At 41.5% G+C, this 22,655-nt stretch overlaps 1 long non-coding RNA gene across 1 annotated transcript, besides 2 other annotated features; it reads left to right on the top strand.

The window, feature by feature from the left end:
* Nucleotides 1–60: an enhancer, noted in NCBI's record as "active region_22657". NCBI's record gives its function as "activates an Ori minimal core promoter by ATAC-STARR-seq in GM12878 lymphoblastoid cells {active_cell/tissue: GM12878}" and the evidence as "EXISTENCE:reporter gene assay evidence [ECO:0000049][PMID:35858748]".
* On the top strand, nt 17–784 carry BTF3-DT (BTF3 divergent transcript). The gene has a single exon (NR_186388.1). It is a non-coding gene; the product is annotated as a BTF3 divergent transcript (long non-coding RNA).
* Nucleotides 9,993–10,753: an enhancer, noted in NCBI's record as "OCT4-NANOG-H3K27ac hESC enhancer chr5:72783409-72784169 (GRCh37/hg19 assembly coordinates)". NCBI's record gives its function as "activates a minimal SCP1, AML or CMV promoter by ChIP-STARR-seq in primed H9 embryonic stem cells {active_cell/tissue: H9 hESC(primed)}" and the evidence as "EXISTENCE:reporter gene assay evidence [ECO:0000049][PMID:30033119]".

Here is a 22,655-nt window from a genome sequence, read left to right as displayed (position 1 = left end):
GCGAGTCCCTATTCTCCTCCTCCTGCTCCAGCGGCTGCCGGCTGTAGGCCCTACGAGAGACTGCTGGCTTGGGGCGCAGCCCGTACCTCTGGGAGAGGCCACAAAGGGGTCGGAGAGCGCGGTCCTGTGCACAGTTAGGGTTAAGTCCGCTCAGTCTCCATTGGGCCCTGATCCTGAAGTTCTGTGCCCTCCGAAGAAAGGGCCTATTCACGTTTCCTGGAGACGCCGGAGGTGCCCAGCTTGTGCTCACCACTCAAGCAGCTCTCCCCTTGCTGGAGGTGTGGGTTGGAGAATTGCAGAATTTCCCTCTCGGCCCGAATGAGCCATTACCAAAGCATTTTGTCAAAAATAGTGAAGTTAGTTTGGCCTTCCAAGGTTAGGTGGTGTGGTAGATTGCGGGACCGAGGTTCAGAATTTCTGGGGGCTGTATCCCCGAGCCCCACTCCTCAGAATGCAACTCTGTACGACGAAGGAACTGGGTAATCCGCATTTCAGCCAATTTAGCAGATGACTAACCACCTTAAAACGGTCCACACAATTATCTTGTTTATCAGGCAAAAAAATTGACTCCTAGGTACCGAATTGGCATGGATTTGACAATTAGCGATTCACGGTTAAGCAGACTTTATCTATCTTAATCCAATCAAAGGAGAATTTCTGCCTGCTGTGTTTGGAGAGACAACGCGTGGATGTGAGTTAAACTTTGTTAAACCCAGGACAAGCTTTAAGATAAAACGACTGATATTTAAAATGGCAATTTAAATAAAAATGTTCTCTGATCAGCCTTTTTGTGGTCTTAACCATGAAATGTCTTTGCATATTCAAAAGTGAGTCCGAAATCTTAGAATGCAATGTGTGTAGCAAGAAAACTTGTTCAAGTGCAGACCCCTCTCCAGTTAAGATCAATGTTTAAACTTTTTGAATACTTTTTACATATAAGTTTGTTGCAACTGATGTCTCAAGAACATAACTGGTGAGGACAGCTGTATTGCCTTTTAGAATAATTGTTACAGTTATATTTACAAAAAACAATGTTGCTTCAGTTAAATATGAGTGAAGTTTTAGTACAGGTAAGGGTGTTTGTAGTTAGGCTTATGTGGGTTACCTTCCTAATGACAAAGGCCAAAATGGCAGTACCAACATTATGCTGTGCTCTGGAGATATTACAAAATATATAGAAAGACTCCCCCTTTTGGAAGAAATGTGTATCTTTGTCCAGGAACAGTTTTTTTCCTCTCCTCCATGTTATATTGGAGGCATTTGAAACTTCCTAGTCACGTGATGTTTTCTGAGCTTTTATAGAGACAAGATTGTATGTATGTAACCTGCCACCTTTTTTTTCTTTTTCTTTGCCTTCCCTCTCCTCTGCCCTTTTAATACACCTGTTTTCAGGAAATATTGTGAGCTACTTTTATTTATTTATTTATTTCTACTTTTTGAAACCAGGGATGCTGCTAATTTTATTTTTATAATTTTTTTAAAAAATATAAAACTTTAAAAAAATTAAAAGAGATGGGGTCTCACTTTGTTGCTTAGGCTGGGCTCAAACTCCTGCGCTCAAAGGATCCTTCAGTCTCAGCCACTTGAGAAGCTGAAACTACAGGTGTGCACCACTTTCCCTGGCTTATGACTTTTTAATTTTCCCCTCGTTCCTACTTTTTTCTCCTGTTCTTTCATGAATTTAAAAGTTTGCTGCGTGTTGAAAATATAAAAGATTACTTAATAGTAAAAAAGAAAATTTTGATTTTCTTTTTACGTTCTGTTTTGGTTTGGTTTTTGTGCTTTTCTATTTAGAGATGGAGGTCTTGCTATGTTGCCCAGGCTGGTCTCAAACTCCTGGGATCAAGCCATCCTCCCATCTGGGCCTCCCAAAGTGCTGGTAGTACAGGCATGAGCCACGATACCTGGCCAAAATTTTGATTTTTGACTCCAGCTGCTTCTGCTGGTTTTATGAGTAGTCAGGAAATTCTGATTCTTCTAATAAAATAATTATATACTAGACTTTTCAAAAATATGGGATTTTTTTGTTTCAAAAAAAGTTATTACATTGCAATCTTAGCTCAAGGATGCCAAAAGAGTAACTTGTGCTAATGTGGGAGCCATTTCCAGTATGCTCCCAATGTCTATGGCAAATGTGGGTAATTGGCTCCCACGCTTTCCTGCTGGGCTTCAAGGAGCCTAAGAATCATTTACTCAGCACTCAAGATTGTATCTGTCAATAGAGAAGGCAAGAAAGGTGAACCCTGTTTGCCCTCCTTGGTTTCTAGTTTATAGCCTAATCAAAGTCCATGAATTGTTTTCATCTCTCAGCTGGATTTGAGTCAGCTTCAGCAAAAGCCAAAATATCCACTTTATATAATGCTTATTTCTTTCTTTCTTTTTTCTTCTTTTTTTTTTTTTTTAGTCTCATCCTGTTGCCCAGGCTGGAGTGCAGAGCACTCGGCTCACTGCAACCTCCACCTCCCGGGTTCAAGCGATTCTCATGCCTCAGTGTCCTGAGTAGCTGGGATTACAGGTGCCCACCACCACACCCAGCTAATTTTTGTATTTTTTATTACATGTTTCACCATGTTGGCCAGGCTGGTCTCAAACTCCTGACCTCAAGCGATCTGCCTGGGATTGCAGGCATGAGCCACCATACCTGGCCAACTCAATATTCTTAATAGGTGGTAGGGCTATTTCCCTTTTTCACTTTTGAGACTGACAGATTTGCAGATATTCTATGTACATTTTAGGTTTTGTTTCATTTTGAAATTTTGATTAGGATTGGTTGTATAGATCGATTTGGGAAACTTATATATTTTCTAATTGTATGCCTCTGCATTCACTTGTAGGAAATCTGGCTATTTTTAATACACAGGGATTTAATATAGGGAATTGGTGCTTTACAAAGTTTGAAGGACTGGAGGAGTGGGCTTTAGCCTGGGCTGTCAGAAGTGAGTCCTAAGATAATACAGATTTAGTATCCCTAATCCAAAAATTTTAAATCCCAAATGCTCCAAAATCCCAAGCTTTTTGAACACAAGCATCATGCTCAAAGGAAATGCTCATTGAGCATTTCAGATGACAGATTTTCAGATTAGGGCTGCTCAACCAGTATGTACATAATGCAAATATTCCAAAAAAAAATCCCAAGTCTGAAAAATTTCTGGTTCCCAGCATTTCACATAACAGATACTCAACCTGCACTCCAGAACTGGGCTGTCATAGGACCTGCTGCAACTGTTTTCACCCATTAGGAGGATAGAGAATCAGGACCCTACAACTGGAATTATTGATGTTAAGAATGCACCACTGTAGCTACAATTCAGGAATCAAGAAGATAACTGTAGTAAGTACTACTCAATACCCACAAAGCTAATGACTGAGCTCTGGAAAGCTGCTGCAAAAAATATATCTCATGAGCATGCTTGCCAGCAAAAACAAAGCAGCAGGAAAAAGGCTTTAGCCTCACTTCCACTTTCTAAACCTTACTTAAATGTACTTAGTTGGCAAAAATAATTCACTTCTAGGATGGTAACTGCAAGGAAATCTGGGAAATATAGTTTTTAACTTTCCAAATTTATAGTACAAGGAGGCAAACTTGAAAGAAATTGGAATTGATCTGAGTACCAATCTACCTTACCTACCCAAAATTTCACCTCCATAAACATAGTGCATCTATTTTTTCAAATCTTTTATGTATTTTAGCAGTGTTTTAAAAACCTTCTGAAGGTCATGTGCATTCTTTAATAGATGGATTCCCGGATGTTATAGTTTTTATTCTTAATCTCTTTCCTATTTTAGTCATTGCAAATGTCTTCTCCTGGTGTGTTAAATCCATCATACTCTTGTTAAATAGAAACATAAATTTTTGACCCTGAGTTGATCTAGTTGTCGATTTACAGAATATACAAAAGACAAAATTCAGATTATAGGAAATGAGAGGACAAATAAACTCCAAGGGAACGAAAAAAAAAAAAAAAAAGAGTAAGGGGATCTTTGTATTAAGAGAAATCTAAGAGACATATCAAACAAACAAAAAACCCAAAAGAAAGCAGGCAAAACAATAGTGTCTAGGGGTGCATGCTTAGGTAATGAAACTGAAGAGGAAGGGAATTAATTATAAAAGAATAGTGGTTATTCCATGCTGGGTGTAGCTCACACCTGTAATCCCAGCACTTTGGGAGCCGAGGTGGGTGGATCACTTGAGGTCAGGAGTTTGAGACCAGCCTGGCAACATGGTGAAACCCTGTCTCTACTAAAAATACAAAATAAATAAATATAATAAAAAATAAAAAAAGAATAGTGGTCATTCTTGCAGAAAATGGATTATAGTTGGGAGGAGGCATATAGTAGATTTCTAGGGTGGGGAGGAAAGGTCTGTCTCCTTACATGTAGAGTGTATATGGTTCTCTGTATTTGCTGTACTGAACAACAAAATTTCTTAAAAGGAAAAGCACACGATATATAATGCAAAGAAATATGCATATTTACGATCATATTTCAACATTACAGTGCATACATTTATGGAGAAGGAGAATGGGAGTAAAGATCAGAGAAGAAAAATCAATGAGAGTGTTTTGCATGGACTGAAAATGACAATGTGCTAATAATATGTCATGTTTAGAAGGCCTTTAATACACATTAGGCACTGTTCTTAGTGCTTTACTTATATTAACTCATTTGATCACATGAAGTAGATACTATTACTCCCATTTTACAGAACCAGAAAACTGAGGCACGCAGAGGTTAAGTAACTTACCTAAGGCCACAGTGCTAGTAAGTGGCAAAGCTGAAACACAGACCCTGGCAGTCTGCTCCATCCTCTGTGCTCATAACCATTATACGATGCTGCTGACTACTAAGGAATATGATTGTCTCAACTCTGCACCTGATGCTCAGTAAAAACCCACGCAGCTGCTCACTCAGAATCTCTATGCACATGACTGACACCTCAAATATACCATGTTTAAGCCAGAACAATGTTTTCCATCTACCATTAAGTCAAAACACTTGAGAGCAGCTCTTTCCTCCTGTAACCTCCCACATCAAATCATCAATAAATCTTATTGGTCCTACCTCCAAAGTAGATTCTGAATTTGACCACTTAGCCATATTTACTGTTGCCACCCTAATCCAGACGAACATCATCACTCACTTAGGCTACTACAACAGCTTCCTAACTTACTTCCCCATTTCCACTTTGCCTCCTGCAGCTCATGCTCCACACAAGTTTTTGTTTTTTGTTTTTTTTAAAGCAAGTTTTCCCTACATAAGCATTTTAACGTCCGCCCATTGCATTTAGAATAAAATGCACTCTTTACTTTGACCAACAAAACCACACATAGTCAGCCACTATCCTCAAAATTTATCTCCTACCATTCTTTCTCTAGTTCTTAGGCATCTTACATATTTGAGCTGTGCAGAACACACAGAAAAAAAAACAAAACGTTTCCTTGGCCATTTTTATTTTCCAAATGTAAGAATAGAGTAAAAATTTCAGGAGTGATGAAGTTATCTCAGTCTGGGGCAGTGCTTAATGTAAGTTAGTATTTGAATTGACCACTCTTCAACCTCAGTTGTAATCAACTTCCTTAGCCCTAACCTGACCAAGGCAATAGCCATCAAAATCACTAGAATACAGAAACATTCACAGGCACAAAGATGACAGGGAGCAAAAATGAGAAAGAAGGAAAGGAGAGAGAGGGTGCACACCCTAATATTGGGGGATAGTTTAGATTTCTTGTTCAGCAAATATCCATTTCGTCTGCCTTTGACCATTTGCAGAAGATACTTCCCTGCCCATTGCTTTTGGGTTCAGCCAAGTGACTTGCTTTTATCAGTGGAATATTAGCAAATGTGAGATAAGCAGAGAACTTAAATGTGCTTTTATGGTTTCTTATGCCCCTTCTTTGGTGATCATCATGAAAGGAAGATGCCTCAGGTAGCCATAGACCCTTGAGTATGGACCCCAGAACCAACATGTGGAGCAATCCTAAACCCTATCTTCAGCCGTAAGGCCACGTGGCCAAGCCCATACAATTGATTTATAGACCCATGAGCATGAAAATAAATGCTTATTATTGTAAGATACTGAGTTTGAGGTACTTTATTATGCACCATTATTGTTGCAATAGTTGACTAATGCAAATGGTAACAGCTAGTGCTATAGGCTGTCTATCCTGTTCCCTTGCCATTACCTCTCAGTGCACCTATAACTTCTATGTATAATCAAAGTGAAATAATTGAAAAAATTCAAATTGTGTATATTGTTTAAAGGATTAGAGTACTATGCAATGAAGACAGCATATGCAATTTGCTACCTTTTGTGTTAGAGAAAAGATAAGTAGGAGAGACTGATTTGGGGGAAAAAGTAAACAACGGAAGAAACAATAAACAAATTTTTTTTACTTATAGGTTACTTACAGGGCTACCTGTATAGAGAAAGAAACAAGAGTTCTCAGAGTATACCTTTTCAGTTACTTTTGACTTTTGAACATTTTCTTTATTAAAAAATAAAATCAAAGTGAAAAGAAAAAAGCAAACCCTAAAATTGAAAACACAGGAACATAACTGTATATCAAGTTGACACAGAAATAATGTCTTCAGATGACTTTTGAATGCAATATGCACATTCTTCAATCTTAATGGGATTTATTTATTTTTAGAGATGGTGTCTTCTTATGTTGCCCAGGCTGGCCTTCAGCTCCTGGACTTAAGTGATCTTCCCACTTCGGTCACCCAAAGTGCTGGGATTACTGGTGTGAGCCACTGCTCCCAGCCTTAATGGAATATAGTTAAAGAAAAAAAAGAACCGGAAATAAACCTCACAGTAATTGTGATAATTAATTTTATGTGTCAATTTGACTGGGCTCTGGGTGCTGAGAAATTTGGTCAAACACTACTCTGGATGTGTTTGTGAGGTTGTGTCTGGATGAGATTAACATTTGAATCAGTAAGACTGAGTAAAACAGATGGCCCTTCCCAATGTGTGCAAGACTCATCCAGTTCATTGAAGGCCTAAATAGAACAAAAGGCTGAGCAAGAAAAAATTTGCTCTCTCTGCCTAATGGTCTTCAAGCTGGGTCATCATTCTTCTCCTGTCTTTGGACTTGGAGTCAAGCTGAAACTTACACCATTGACTCTCTTGGTTCTCAGGCCTTTGAGCTCAGATTAGAACTATGTCACCAGCTCTCCTGGGCCTCCAGCTTGCAGAGCTTGGGATTTCATAGGCTCAAAATGTGTGTAAGCCAATTTCTTATACTCTCCTTCTCCACCACTCCCCACCCTGTCTCTCTCTCTATATATATGTGTATGTAGATAGATGGGTAGATAGATAGAGTATATATATACTATTTCTCTGGAGAACACTAATAGTTGTTTTTTTTTTTTGAGACAGAGTCTCGCTGTGTCACCCAGGCTGGAGTGCAGTGGCACGATCCCGGCTCACTGCAACCTCTGCCTCCTAGGTTCAAGGGATTCTCCTGCCTCAGCCTCCTGAGTACCTGGGATTACAGGCGCGCGCCACCACGCCTGGTTACTTTTTGTATTTTTAGTAGAGATGGGGTTTTACCATGTTGGTCAGGCTGGTCTTGAACTCCTGACCTTGTGATCCACCCGCCTTGGCCTTCCAAAGTGCTGGGATTACAGGCGTGAGCCACCACGCCCAGCCTGGAACACTAATAGTTTTATACTTAGTTGTAATATTGGTACTGTGAAGTAAAAAACATTTTCTGTGTATTATAGGATAAAGCAAATGAGTAAATATTTTAATGTTTATAAAAATGGAGAATTTCAGTTTAAAAGAAAGATACAATGTATTATTTTGTAATTTTCTGGTTAGTACTTTTTCCTCCTTTTTAAGAAATCTTTATCCACCCATGAATATATTCTCCTTTGTTTCTTACAGTTTTAGTTTTCACAATTAGCTCTACAATTCATCTCTAAATTTTTTTTTTGAAATGATGAAAGGTAGGTGTTAAGGTTTTTTTTTTATATCTCACATGGATTAGAGAAAGACTGTAAAAGACCAATAAAGTTTTGAATTGGATTCTGGCCCTAGCCCAGCACAAACAAGAGGTTGAAGCCTCTCTGCACAAAGATGATATAAATCAGTATCATAAAGTAGATCATTACATCTTAGAGAATTTTATTGAATCTGTTACAGCATTAGAAGTGGTAAATGGGGCCTGGCCCAATGGCTCATGCCTGTAATTCTAGCACTTTGGGAGGCCGAGGCCAGTGGGTTGCTTGAGCTCAGGAGTTCGAGACCAGCCTAGGCAACATGGTGAAACCATCTCTACCAAAAAATAGAAAAAATTATCTGGGTGTGGTGGCACATACCTGTAGTCCCAACTACTCGGGAGGCTGAGGTGGGAGAATTGCTTGAACCTGGAAGCTGGAGGTTGCAGTGAGCCAAGATCATGCCACTGCACTCCAGCCTGGGTGACAAAGCGAGACCCTGTTTCAAAAGAAAAAAAAAAAGAATCTAAAGTAGCACCAAGGTCAAACCTGGGCTATAGCGTCTGTTTTTCCTAATTACTCTCTAATCTTTGGATAGTGCCTATAGAATATTATTTTTTTGTTATAAAGTGTAAATCGGGTGGTAGAAAATAATAATTTTCAGTCTCTATAGTTTTACATGATTCAAAATTTATATTCTCATTATTTTCTTGCAGAATGCGGTCTGTTTTGAGCACAGTTCTAAACACATGACTGAATTAAACCCATGTTAAGTTGTAACTATAATCTGTGACTTTTAAGTATCATGGATAATTTTCAGACTTCATCCTTTAACAAATTGAAGGATTCAAAACAAATTATTGATTCAAACAAATGAGTAAATGGGATTGTGTATTTACTGTACTGACTAAAACAGAATCATAGCTTTATATTTCTATCATAAGTAGTCTCCTCATGTATATTATAAAGACTGAACTGAAAACCGTCACAAATTATGCTAAACTATCTCAGTTTTACCTCTGCTTAAGTCAAGCTGAACAAATAGTTAACCTCTTTGAATCTGCTTTCTCACCTAAAAAGGTTGTCAAACTTTGGTGTGTATCATAATCACCAGGACAGTTAATAAATCGTACAGAATCCCAAGCTGATTGAAGCAGAATGGGGACAGGGTCTGAGTCTCTGTATTTTTATCAAGTTTCCCTGGGTAGTTCTGATTACATATCAGTACTTGAGAACTTTTGTCTTAGTATGTTTCTACTGATAGAATGATTCATTTATGTGCTTATGTATTCACTTAATGCATGTGTGTAGCAATAAATACATACTGAGTGACTAGGTGCTGTCACACAGTGCTGAGGGCTCAGAGGTGAAAGACCTAGCCCTGCCTGATATGAACCGAATGTTTGTGTCCTCCCGAAATTCATATGTTGAAACCCTAACCCTCAATGTGACTGTATTAGGAGGTAGTGCCTGTGAGGATGTGATAACAGTTAAATGAAGTCATAAAGATGGACCCTACTCTGATAGGGCTGATGCTTTTACAAGAAGAGGAGGAGACACCAGACCTTGCTTGCCGTCTCTGCCATATGAGGACACAGCAAGAAGATGGCCATCTACAAGTCAGGAACAGAGACCTCACTGGGAACTAAATTCTTTTTTTTTTTTCGGAGACACAGTCTTGCTCTGTTGCCCAGGTTGGAGTGCAGTGGTGCAATCTGGACCCACTGCAGCCTTTGCCTCCCAAGTTCAAATGATTCTCCCGCCTCAGCCTCCCAAGTAGCTGGGACTACAGGCAGGCACCACCAGGCCCGGATAATTTTTGTATTTTTTGTAGAGATGGGGCTTCACCATATTGGCCAGTCTGGTCTCTTACTCTTAGCCTCAAGCGATCTGCCCTCATTGACCTCCCAAAGTGCTGGGATTAAAGGTGTGAGCCACCACGCCCGGCCTGGAACTAAACTCACTGGCATCTTGGACATTCCAGCTTCCAGTACTCTGAGAAATAAATTGGTTGCTTAAGCTACCCACGCTATGATACTTTGTTATGGAAGCCCAAGCATCTAATGCATTGCCCTAAAGAAGTTCTTAGTTTAATGGAGGAGACACACAAATAATTGATAAATGCAATATAGTGTTAGGTGCTTTGATATAAGCAGGCAAGGTACTGCAGAAGCATTTTGGTATCAGGAGTGGTTCTAGAGGAACAGAATCTTAAAAATTGTAAACCAAAAATTAAATTCTAAGCTCCCCAATCAGCCGAATGGACCTCTCCTCTCAGTGGAGAGGATTCCAAAGTAAACCTGAAAAACTAGTTCAGGCCATGATGGGAAGGAGGAATTGGAGATGTCTTATTTTACCTTACTCTCTCTGGAATTCAGGCACAACTGACCAGCATTAACATTAAAACAGAGATCTTAAGACTGACAAAACCGATTCTTGGTAACAGTAGGATACCAAATTCCAACCTGACACTAGCATAGCATCACACGACAGATAGCGGGCCCTGAAAGAGATTATTTTACCCCAAAATATATTTCTTTGACATATTTTGAAATGGTGAAGCTGTGTCTTGTGGGGACAATTTACACTCTATAGCAAATCCTCTTCTTTTTCCAGGTCTTTTTCTTTTCTTTTCTTTTTTTGAGATGGAGTTTCGCTCTGTCGCCCAGGCTGGAGTGCAGTGGCGCAATCTCGGCTCACTGCAACCTCTGCCTCCCGGATTCAAGTGATTCTCCGGCCTCAGCTTCCTGAGTAGCTGGGACTACAGGTGCATGCCACCATGCCCAGCTAATTTTTTGTATTTTAGTAGAGACAGGGTTTCACCGTGTTGCTCATGCTGGTCTTGAACTCCTGAGCTCAGGCAATCCGCCCGCCTCAGCCTCCCAAAGTGCTAGGATTACAGGCATGAGCCACCGCACCTGGCCTCTTTGTCTTTCTTAAAAGGAGGAACTGAGCTGTGGCCTAGGGTTTAGTGTAGTGGATCAAAGTGTGCTGACTGCAGGAGGGACTCCTCAGTGTTTTACCACTGAGTAATTTCCACACTCTTACATGTCTCAGTTTCTCTCTCCAGAGGTCTGGCATCTCCAAGAGGGCTTAAAGTGCAAAGTGATCAGCTCTTATATGCATTTTCTGGATGAGCCTTTTTAAACTAATTTTTTTGGGGGGGCCGCTGCAAGTCATGGGAAGTCAAGCCCCCAAACACTCTCACTCAGCTCCCGGTCACCCAGGGGCGCCTTTTTGCTGAGAGGAGCAAAATACCTTTTCTCTTCCAAGCTGAGGAAGCTCAGTTTCTCTTTTATCTAGGAAAATGCAGTTCAGCTCCTCACAAAAATATGCAGACATGCCAATTGAACTTAATCTTGGGGAAAAAAGCAATGAAGAAGACCCTTTAGAATGCACTTCCAAACTAGAAACTAAATGGAGTGCCCAAAAGGGAGTCATTTTCCTTGTCTTTGGAAAAAGGCAATGGAGAAGACTCTTTAGAATGCACCTCTGTCTTAGGATCCGAAACAACAACTTCCTAGGACTAAACAAACAAACAAACAAACCAGCTCAGAATAAATCAAGGATTGTCAACCAAAGGGAGATCCATGCCTCAGGACTTATCAGTTCCACTGGAGAAGCTCACAGCTGGGGAAGCTTTCAATGGGCCCCTGCTGGTACCTTAGCTCTGAGTTCCGGCAACTTGTTTGGGGCCCATTCAGATGATTGGGGGTGGGCCTTAGAATTTTATTTTTGGTTTACATACTTGTAGTCCCAGCTACTTGTAAGGCCAAAGCAGGAGGGGTGCTTGAGCCCAGGAGATTTAGGTTGCAGTGAGCCATGATCACACCACTGCACTCTATCCTGGTCAACAGAGGGAGACCCTGTCTCAAAACAAACAAACAAACAAACAGAAAACAATACAAGGACCAGGTTCATGCCTGTATTTCCAGAACACTGGGAGGCTCTGGGCTTGAGCCCCAGAGTTTGAGATCAGCTAGGGCAACACAGTGAAACTCTGTCTCTACAAGAAAGAAAGAGAGAAGAGAGAAGGAGAGAAAGAGAGGAGAAAAAGAAAGAGAGAAGGAAGGAAGGAGAAAGAAAGAAAGAAAAGAAAGAAAGGAAGAAAGAAAGAAAGAGAGGGAGAGAGAGAAAGAAACGAGAAAGAGAGAGAAAGAAAGAAAGAAAAGAAAAGAAAGAATTAGCCATATAGTGGTGCACACCCATAGTCCCAACAACTCAGGAGGCTGAGGCAGGAAGATCACCTGAGCCCAGGAGGCTGAGCAGTGAGCCATGATCACACCATTGTACTCCAGCCTGGATAGCAGAGCAAGACTGTTTCAATAAAAAAAAAAATTATAAATATAAAAGATAAATAAATAAAAGAAACATGGGTGAAAGTTGAACAACAGTGAGTGAATTGGACATATTGGATGTGTGTTGATTTAATGTAGAGGAAGGAATGCAAAGGCTTAGGGAGACTGAAATGTTCAAGTGGATTACTCATTTAAGACGTCACCCACACAGGGAGGGTCCAGAAGACATACTCCAATTCAGTGAGAAATTAGTTGGTGAGAGAAGCCCCAGCATCCTTGAAAAGCTTCACGATTGCTTTTCTGTGTAGGCCAGACCTTACAGTGAGAACCACAGTCACTGAATTTAAAAACCTAAATACGATGGGCATAATTGGATCCCAGGTTGTAGGGCCCAAGTTGCAACACTCGACCACCAATGGCAAGGTGGCCATGGTTACCATAATGAAAAGCAGAGTCAAAGCAGCCATCAGAATGACCTAGTTCATAGATCTACAGTGTTCACTAGTTGATCATGGTGTTCCTAGACGTGAAATAGGAACTATTTCAACTAAATTCTTACTTGATCTGTATAAACAGAAAAGTTTTAGGTTAAGTGAACAGAAGTCTAATCTGAATCATAAGAAAAAAAAAGAGTCACAGTTCCGTAATCAATTCCCAGACTTGAGCTAGTTTACTCACCCAAAACCTTCTGAATGAAGAGGAGGTGGGATCCCCTTGAGGAAAGACCCCAGTATATTATGAAAAATTTATATGTTAATCTTTTCCCCAATATTCACCAAAGGGACCTACAGCTGTTTACCTACAGCTGTTTACCAGGGTAACTGTGCACTAAAGCAAAGGAAATAATCAGAATTTTCAGACACTGGCTCTAAACTGAAACTAACTTTAGGTGACCCAAAACATCATGATGGTCCACTGGTCAGAGTAAGGGCTTATGGCAGCAGTCCCCAGCCTTTGTGGTACCAGGGACTGATGTCGTGGAAGTCAATTTTTCCACAGACTGGGAGACAGGGGATGGTTTGGGGATGATTCAAGTACATTACATTTATTGTGCACATCTATTATTATTACATTGTAGTATATAATACAATAATTATACAACTCACCAGAATGTAGAATCAGTGGAAGCCCTGAACTTGTTTTCTTGCAACTAGATGGTCTCATCTATGGGTGATGGGAGACAGTGATAGACCACTATGCATTAGATTCTCATAAGGAGCACACAACCTAGATCCCTTGCATACACAGTTGGCCATAGTGTTTGTGCTCCTATGAGAATCTAATGCTGCCACTGATCTGACAGGAGGTGCAGCTCAGGTGGTAATGTGAGTGATGGGGAGTGGCTATAAATACATGGGAAGCTTTGCTCACTCACCTGCTACTCACCTCCTGCTGTGTGGCCTGGTTCCTGACAGACCACGGAGTGGTACTAGTTTGTGGCCTGGGAGTTGGGGACCTCTGGCTTATGGAGGTCAGGTAATCAATGGAGGGTTTTTTTTGTTTTGTTTTTGTTTTTTTCTGGAGGCAGAGTCTCACTCTATCCTCCAGGCTGGAGTGCAGTGATGCAATCTTGGCTCACTGCAACCTCTGCCTCCTGGGTTCAAGCAATTCTCATGCCACGGCCTCCCAAGTAACTGGGATTACAGACACCTGCCACCACGCCTGGCTAATTTTTTTTTTTGAGTTGGAGTTTCACTCTTATTGCCCAGGTGGGAGTGCAATGGCACAATCTCAGCTCACTGCAACCTCCGCCTCCAGGTTCAAGCAATTCTTCTGCCTCAGCCTCCCAAGTAGCTGGGATTACAGGCATGCGCCACCATGCCCAGCTAATTTTGTATTTTTAGTAGAGACAGGGTTTCACCATGTTGGTCAGGCTGGCCTCGAACTCCTGACCTCAGGTGATCTGCTCGCCTCAGCCTCCCAAAGTGCTGGGGTTAAAGGCGTGAGCCACGACGCCTGGCTCAATGGAGTTTTAACTCAGGTTCATCTCACAGTGGATTGTTAAACCCTCCTGTGATCATTTCCCCAGTTTCCAAATGTGTAATAAGAATAGATATATTCAACAGCTGGCAGAATCCCCATATTGGTTCCCTGACCTATAGAACGGGGGCTATTATGGTGAGAAATGGCAGATGGAAGCCACTAGAATTGCCTCTCCCTAGGACAATAGCAAACCAAAAGCAACACTGCATTCCTGGAATGATTGCAGAGGTTAGTGCCACCAGCAAGGACTTAAAAGGATGTGGGGGTGTGATTTCCACTACATCCCTATTCAACTCACCTATTTGGTCTGTGCAGAAGACAGACGGATCTTGGAGAATGACAGTGGATTACTGAAAGTTTAACCGGGTGATGACTCCAATTGCAGCTGCTTTACCAGATATGGTTTCGTTGTTTGAGCAAATTAACTCAATCTCTGGTACCTGGTATGCAGCTATCAATCTGGTGCATATTTTTTCTCCATACCTGTTAGTAAAGACCATCAGAAGCATTTTGATTTCAGCTGGCAAGGCCAGCAATACACTGCCACTGTCCTTCTCAGGAGTCTATCAGCTCTCCAACACTATGTCATAATTTAGTTCACAGGGATCTTGCTCACCTTTTTTTTCCACAAGCTATAACAGTGGTCCATTGCATTGATGACATTATGCTGATTGGACTTAGTGAGGAAGAAGTAGCAGCTACTCCCTAGACTTATGGGTAAGATATTTGGATGCCAGAGGGTGGGAAATAAATTTGACAAAACTTCAGGTGCCTCCTACGTCTGTAAAATTTCTAGGGGTCCAGTGGTGTGGAGCATGTCGAGACATCCCTTCTAAGGTGAAGGAAAAGTTGTTGCATCTAGCCCCCTCCTACAACCAAGAAAGAGACACAATGCCTAGTGGGCCTCTTTGAATTTTGGAGGCAACATATTCTTCATTTGTGTGTGCTACTTGGCACGTTTACTGAGTGAGCTGAAAAGCTGCTATTTTTGAGTGATGTGCAGACGAGAGAAGGCTCTGCAACAGGTCCAGGCTGCTGTGCTAGCTGCTCTGCCACTTGAGCCATGTAATACAGCAGATCCAATTGTGCTTGAAGTGTCTGCAGAGAGAGATGCTGTTTGGAGCCTTTGGCAGGCCCCTACAGATGAGTCACTACACAAACCCTTTGGATTTTGAAGCAAAGCCCTGTCATCTTCTGCAGATAACTACTCTCCTTTTAAGAAATATCTCTTGATCTGCTACTGGGCCTTACTAGAGACTGAATGCTAAACCATGGGCCACCAGGTTACCATGCAACCTGAGCTGCTTATCATAAGCTGGGTGTAATCTGACCCATCAGGCCATAAAGTCGGGTATGGAGAGCAAGAGCCCATCATCAAATAGAAGTGGCGTATACATGATCATGTTTGAGTAGGCCTTCAAAGCACAAGTAAGCTACATGAAGTGGCCCAAATGACCATGGCCCCCACTTCTATTATATCATTTTATCTCTCCCAGCCTGCATCTATGGCTTAATGGGGAGTTTCCCACAAGTTGACAGTTCACAGACAAAGAGAAGACTTGGGCCTGGTTTACAGATGGTTCTGCACGATATGCAGGCACCACCTTAAAGTGGACAGCTGCAGCACTACAGCCCCTTTCCAGAACTTCTCTGAAGGACAGTGATGAAGAAAAATCCTCCCAGTGGGCAGAACTTTGAGAAGTGTACCTGGTTGTTCACTTTGCTTGGAAAGATACATGGCCAGATATGTGATATATACCAATTCATGGACCACGGCCAGTGGTTTGGCTGGGTGATCAGGGACTTGGAAGGAACGTGATTAGAAAATTGAAGGACAAGAAAATTTGGGAAAGAAGTATATAGATAGATCTCTCTGAATTAGCACAAAAAAAATGGAAGATTTTTATGTCTCATGTGAATTCTCAACAAAGTGTGACCTCAGCAGAGTAGGGTTTTAATAATCAAGTGCATAAGATGACCCAGTCTGTGGATCCCAGTCCGCCTCTTTCCCAGCCACCTTGTCATTGCCCAGTGGGCTCATGAACAAGGTGACCGTAATGGCAGGGATGGAGGTTATGCATAGGCTCAGCAACATAAACTTCCACTCACCAAGGGCATCCTAGCTATGGCCACTGCTGAATGCCCACTGTGCCAGCAGCAGAGACCAATACTGAATCCTCAATATGGCACCATTTCCTGGAGTGATCAGCCAGCTATCTGGTGGCAGGTTGATTACACTGGATCACTTCCATCATGGAAGTGGCAGCATTTTGTTCTTACAGGAATAGACACTCTGGATATGGATTTGCCTTTCCTGCATGCAATGGTGTGATCTTGGTTCATGCAGCCTCCACCTCCAGGGCTGAAGTGATCCTCCCACCTCAGTGTCCAAAGTAGCTGGGACTGTAGGTGAACACCACCACACCTGACTAATTTGTTAAATTATCTGTAGAGAAGGGGTCTCCCTATGTTGTTCAGGCTGGACTCGAACTCCTGGTCTTAAGTGATCTTCCCACCTCAGCCCCCCAAAGTGCTGGAATTACAAGATTGAGCCACTGTGCCTGGCCTCACACAGCATTGCTTCTAAACAAGGAACCCCCCTCACAGCAAAAGAAGTGTGGCAATAGGCCCATGCTTGTGGAATTCACTGTTTTTACCGTGTTTCTCACCAGTCTGAAGCAGCTGGTTTGATAGAATTGTAGAATGACCTTTGGAAGATTGAGTTACAGCACTAGCTAGGTGGTGATACCTTGCAGGGCTTGGGCAAGGTTCTCTGGAAGGCTGTATATGCTCTGAACCAGCATCTAATAGCTGGTGGTGTTTCTCCTCTAGCTAGGATTCATAGGTCCAGGAATCATGGTGTAGAAATGGGAGTGGCATTACTCAGTATTAAGCCCGATAATCCACTAGCAACATTTTTGCTTCTTGTTCCTGTGACTTTATGCTCTCCTGGTCTAGAGGTCTTAGTTCCAGAGGGAGGAATGTTTCCACCAAGAGAAACAACGATTCCACTGAACTAGAAGTAAAGACAGCCACCTGGACACTTTGGGTTCCTCATGCTTCTGAGTCAACAAGTAAAGAAGGGAGTCACAGTGCTGGCTGGGGTGATTGATCCTGACTACCAAGGGGAAACTGGACTGTATTCCACAATGGAGGTAAGGAAGAGTCTCCCTGGAATACAGGAGATCCCTCAGGGAGTCTTCTAGTATTGCTACTGTGTCCTGTGATTAAGTCAATGGAAACCTACCACAACCCAATCCAGGCAGGACTATGACTGGCTCAGACCCTTCAGGAATGAAGGTTTGGGTCACTCCACCAGGTAAAGAACCATAGCCAGCTGAGGTGCTTATGAAGACAAAGGATATACAGTGTGTAGTAGAAGAAGATAGTCATTAGAAATACTAACTTTGACCACGTGACCAATTACAGAAATGAGCACTGTAATTGTCATGAATATTTTCTCATTTTGTTATGAATATGTGTGTTTGTATGATGTATGTGTGTATATATATGTTTATGTGTGTGTGTGTGTGCACACATAGATAGATAGATAGATCTCCTATTGGTTCTGTATCTCTGGAGAACCCTGACTAATACAAGGGACAGCACACTTCCCCTGAAAGCACACATCAGGGAAGATTCTTCTGGGTCCTGAAACACTGAAGGAATCAGCTGGGTGAGAACGAAAGCAGAACATTTGAGGCACAGAATAAGAAAGCTTGAAACCACAAAGTAATCTGAGAAGGATAGAGTGGTGTTTTCCAAAGCATGGGACAATTAATATTCAGATTTTATGTGGTGGTTCTAGGTCCTATCTGGCTTATATTCAGCCAGATAAGTAATTACATAGTGATAGAATAACACTCTTTCCAATTCTTTTTCAAACCTTCTTTTGTAAGGAAAAGTCATTTTTTTCTAGCAAGTACACCTATGTAACATTTGCTAATCTCCTTTTAGGCTTAAACTCAAAGCTTCAACTGGCAGCATTATCTAGGTAGAGTTAAATAACACCTATCTCCACTTTAGGCAATTGAAACTGATTTGCTATTTTTGGTAGTGATAAAAAGTTTCCTTTTAAAAATCATTTATTCAAGTAGTCAAAATTGATCTATTAAAAGATACTAAGTAAACAGTTCACTGGTACTTGTGTATGCCAAAAATTGTGAAGATGGTAGATAAAGGAATGAATGTTCAAAGCCTTGCCTGCATCTTGAGAAGTGGCAAGAGCTGAGGCTACCAAGACAAAGGAGCAGTTGTGAAGGACCATGGAAGAATACTAAAGCAAATGGGGGAGACCTGAAGAGTGTCAAACAAGAGAGGGTTAAGCTTGGAAAGAGCCACAAATGATAATGCCTGAATGGAGTGTAGAAGTGTCTGTGGGGTGGGGTAAAGTAGAGGAAATTCTCAAATAGGTCTGTCTACAGACAATTCAGAGTTATTCTTCCTGATGGACTTGGTCTATTAATTAAATCAGTGGAGACTTCTGAAGTGGGGAAGTAGATCCCTTTAAGAGCATTCAGCCCTATTAGCTGATAACTGCAGCTTAGGTATGAAGAACATAGCCAGTTTAGTAATATAAAGCATGACAGCTCCATAGACTGTTATTAATTTCACAGGTAATATTCCATGCTAAACTTTTATGAGAGATTTGAAATATAGGCCAGGCATGGTGGCACATACCTGTAATCCCAGCACTTTGGGGGCCAAGGTGGGCCAATAGCTTCAGCTCAGGGAGTTCGAAACTAGCCTGGGCAACATGGTAAAACCCCATCTCTGCAAAACATACAAAATTTAGCTGGGTATGGTGGCATGTATATGTAGTCCCAGCTACGTGGGGAGCTGAGGAGGGAGAATCACTTGAGCCTGGGAGGTGGAGGTTGCAGGGAGCTGAGATCGCACCACTGCACTCCAGCCCGGGTGACAAGGCGAGACTCTGTCTCAAAAAAAAAAAAAAAAAAGACAGAAAAAAATTTGAAAGATAACATATATTGTTGACATTATGGTAATAGTTCTTAAAATATGTATATAAAAAATCAAAACAGAACAAAATACTCTCATTTTCCATGTAATTTGGGTGGAATACTTCCTACTCTCTTCACTGCCCCCAAAATCTGGACACACGACTGGTGGCAAGTCACTGTTTCACCATAAAGACTGGGCGGGGCATGACTGTCAGCTTCTCTGAAAGAGTGGCCATTCTTGGTTGTAGAACCAAGTAGATAGATGCCAGACATCTGTCTTCTATCAATGAGGATCAAAATAAAGCCCTACCCATTAGATGACTTAACATATAACATAAAACCTAATAAGGTTTGCCCTGTTGCCTATTTAGCAAAATCTCTATTATAAGACTTCTTTTTCACCTTCTCAATAGCTGTGAAAATGCTGGCATTTAACAATGTAGGCTTTATTTTATTTTATTTTATTTTATTTTATTTTTGTCTTTTGGTTTGATGCTGGACTGGCTTATTTTTTCAACTACCTTTTTAGGCGCTCCTCTTCTTGTCCTTAGACTCTGTACTAGGAACCGGGCCACACAGGAGGGGAGCGAGCATTACCGCCTGAACTCTGCCTCCTCTCAGATCAGCAGCATTAGATTCTCATAGGAGCGAGAACCCTATTGTGAGCTGGCTTTGCGGGGGATCCAGGTTGCATGATCCTTCTGAGAATCGAATGTCTGATGATCTGAGGTGGAACAGTTTCATCCCAAAACCATCCTCTCACCTCCACCCGTCCGTGGAAAAATTGTCTTCCACGAAACCAATCCTTGGTGCCAAAAAGTCTGGAGATCACTGCTCTACAGGACCCTCTGCACTTGCATGCCTGCTCTCCCACCATCCTCCAGAGAGCTCAGCCATTTCCGGAGCCTCCATTCATTGAGTCTCTGCTGACTTTTGCATTTTGAATTTGTATCACAAACTATAGCCCCTTATTCCCAGGCCTGTATATTCAGATGTCTCTGGACTCCAACCATTTGGATGTCCTCAAATATAGTGTATCTCAACCTAAATCTTCCTGGTGAATTCAAATACCCTTAATGATCCCAATTTTGACTGTCAGTCACTGAGGCTGACGAAATGATACGTTGCTGGCCAGGCAAGGTGGCTCATGTCTGTAATTCCAGCACTTTGGGAGGCCAAGATGGGAGGTTCACTTGAGGCCAGGAATTCGAGGCCAGACTGGGCAACATAGCAGTATCTATTAAAAAATGTTTAAATTAGCCAGGTGTGGTGGCATGCCCCTGTAGTCCTAGCTACTCAGGAGGATCATTTGAGCCCAGGAGTTTGAGGCTGCTGTGAGCCACATTCATACCACTGCACTCCAGTTTGGGTGACAGAGCAACACCCTGTCTTTAAAACAGACAAACAAACAAAGATACATTTCAGGCTGTGACTTTGCTGCCCATTAGTTGGTATGCTGTTCAATAATTTGTGTCCATAAGATACAGACACAGTTAACTGATTGTGAGAATTAAAGAAACTATCTTTTGTTGCTTGCATCTTTGTCTTATGAATTCCACCAACCCCCCCCCACTTTTTTTTAAGGAGAAAGTACTTGAGAAGCGAAAAATCAATAATTCACTTAGTTTCAGATTATTGAGTACTGGACTATGAAATGTGATATGCTCATAAGGAATACTTAACAGCTTTGGTTGCTAATTAAAACCTTACAAACACATTTCAATTAGTATTGGCTAATATAATACAGTTCAACTAGAAAAATATTTGTAGAAGACATGTTTTGCAACAAAAATATCTAAGTCAGTTTCACCTTCTACTTATTTGACATAAATTAGCAATAGATATTTTTCATGGAGGTTGGAATTGAGTTTCATAAATATAGATTCATGTTGGTTGCCCTTCAGGTTGTAATACTTTAATGATACACCCTTAATGGTAAGTGACCTGATAATGATAGAATGCCACATTTTAATTTATATATTTTAATGTATGGCAAACATTGTGGATGTGTCAGCAAAAAGGAAATAAAACAGACCCCTTCAAATAAACAGTAATTCACAATTTAACCAAGAAATTGAAAGTGGCATCAAAAATACTGGTACAGGATTAGTATGTCAGGTTCAAGTCAGTACCCAGCAAGAATTGTAATACTTTTCTTAAGAGGAGAATTTGAGAAGGAGCATGTGATAAGTCAGGGGCCCTAGGTAAGAGAAGATTTAAATGAACTGAGCTCCTCAGCTTCTCCAGAGCTCCTTGCTTCTTGCTCCTTGGCTCTGACAGTTGTGGAATGAGGGTACTGGGCAGAGGAGGTTTATTAAGTGAAACCCTTCTCCTTTTTTTTTTTTTTTTTTTTTTTTGTTAAGACAGAGTCTTACTCTGTCGCCCCAGGCTGGAGTGCAGTGGCATGATCTCGGCTCACTGCAACCTCTGCCTCCTGGGTTCAAGAGAGTCTCTTGCCTCAACCTCCTGAGTAGCTGGAATTAAAGGTGTCTGCCATCACACCCAGCTATGTTTTGTATTTTTAGTATAGACAGGGTTTTGCCATGTTGACCAGGCTGGTCTCGAACTCCTGACCTCAAGTGATCTGCCTGCCTTAGCCTCCCAAAGTGCTAGAATTAAGTGAAAACCCTTCTGATTGCTAATGAGAGAGACACAACTCCAGTTAGCTTAGGCCACAAAGGATACCAGGAATGCCAGGGGTTTAAATAGCTTTAGGCTTGACTAAACCTAGGTTCTCAGTGATACCCTAGAATACTGTCTCTCACCTTTGATTCTCTGGCTCTGCTTCTGCTGCGGTGGTTTTATTTTCTGGTAGCCTTTTGCTAGGTTATGGCAAAGAGAGCCTCCAGTTTTTCCAGGCTCACAACCTGACAAATGTAGCCCTACCGAAAATGATCTCCTCTTCCCAGTTCCAGCAAAGTCCCAGGAATTACTCAGATTGGCCTGGCTCAAAGGTTGTGTCTCCTCCTGGCCATACCTGGGTCACCTACCATCACTGGAGCTAAGGAGTGGGATGGTGGCTCCCAAGAGGAAAATAATGAGTCAATTACCAGAAGACATACAACAAGTTGGGGGAGGAAAAATAGCAAGAAATGGGATATGACGACAAGAAGAGTGTGAATAAATCCATTCTTAGTTTCAGATTTTGGCTGGGATTCATTGCGGCAAACCAACAGCAAAGTACTTTCCTGTCAAGATGCCTAGGTAGTTTTAATTCAGAGTTTCTCAACTTTAAAAAAAATGTCATTTCCCTAAGGAGCTTTGAAAAATGTGTTGGCCAGGTGCAGTGGCTCGTGCCTGTAATCCCAGCACTTTAGGAGGCTGAGGCAGGACTCTCGCTTAAGCCCAGGAGTTGGAGACCAGCCTGGGGAACATAGTGAGACCCTATCTCAATAATTTAAAAAATATTTATATTGAATATTGACAAAAAAAATTTTTTAAATGAAAATAAAATAAATAAAAACATGTT

The sequence above is a fragment of the Homo sapiens genome, chromosome 5 (assembly GCF_000001405.40).
Source record: "Homo sapiens chromosome 5, GRCh38.p14 Primary Assembly".
Lineage (NCBI taxonomy): Eukaryota > Metazoa > Chordata > Mammalia > Primates > Hominidae > Homo > Homo sapiens.
This window is presented reverse-complemented; position numbering and strand designations above follow the sequence as displayed.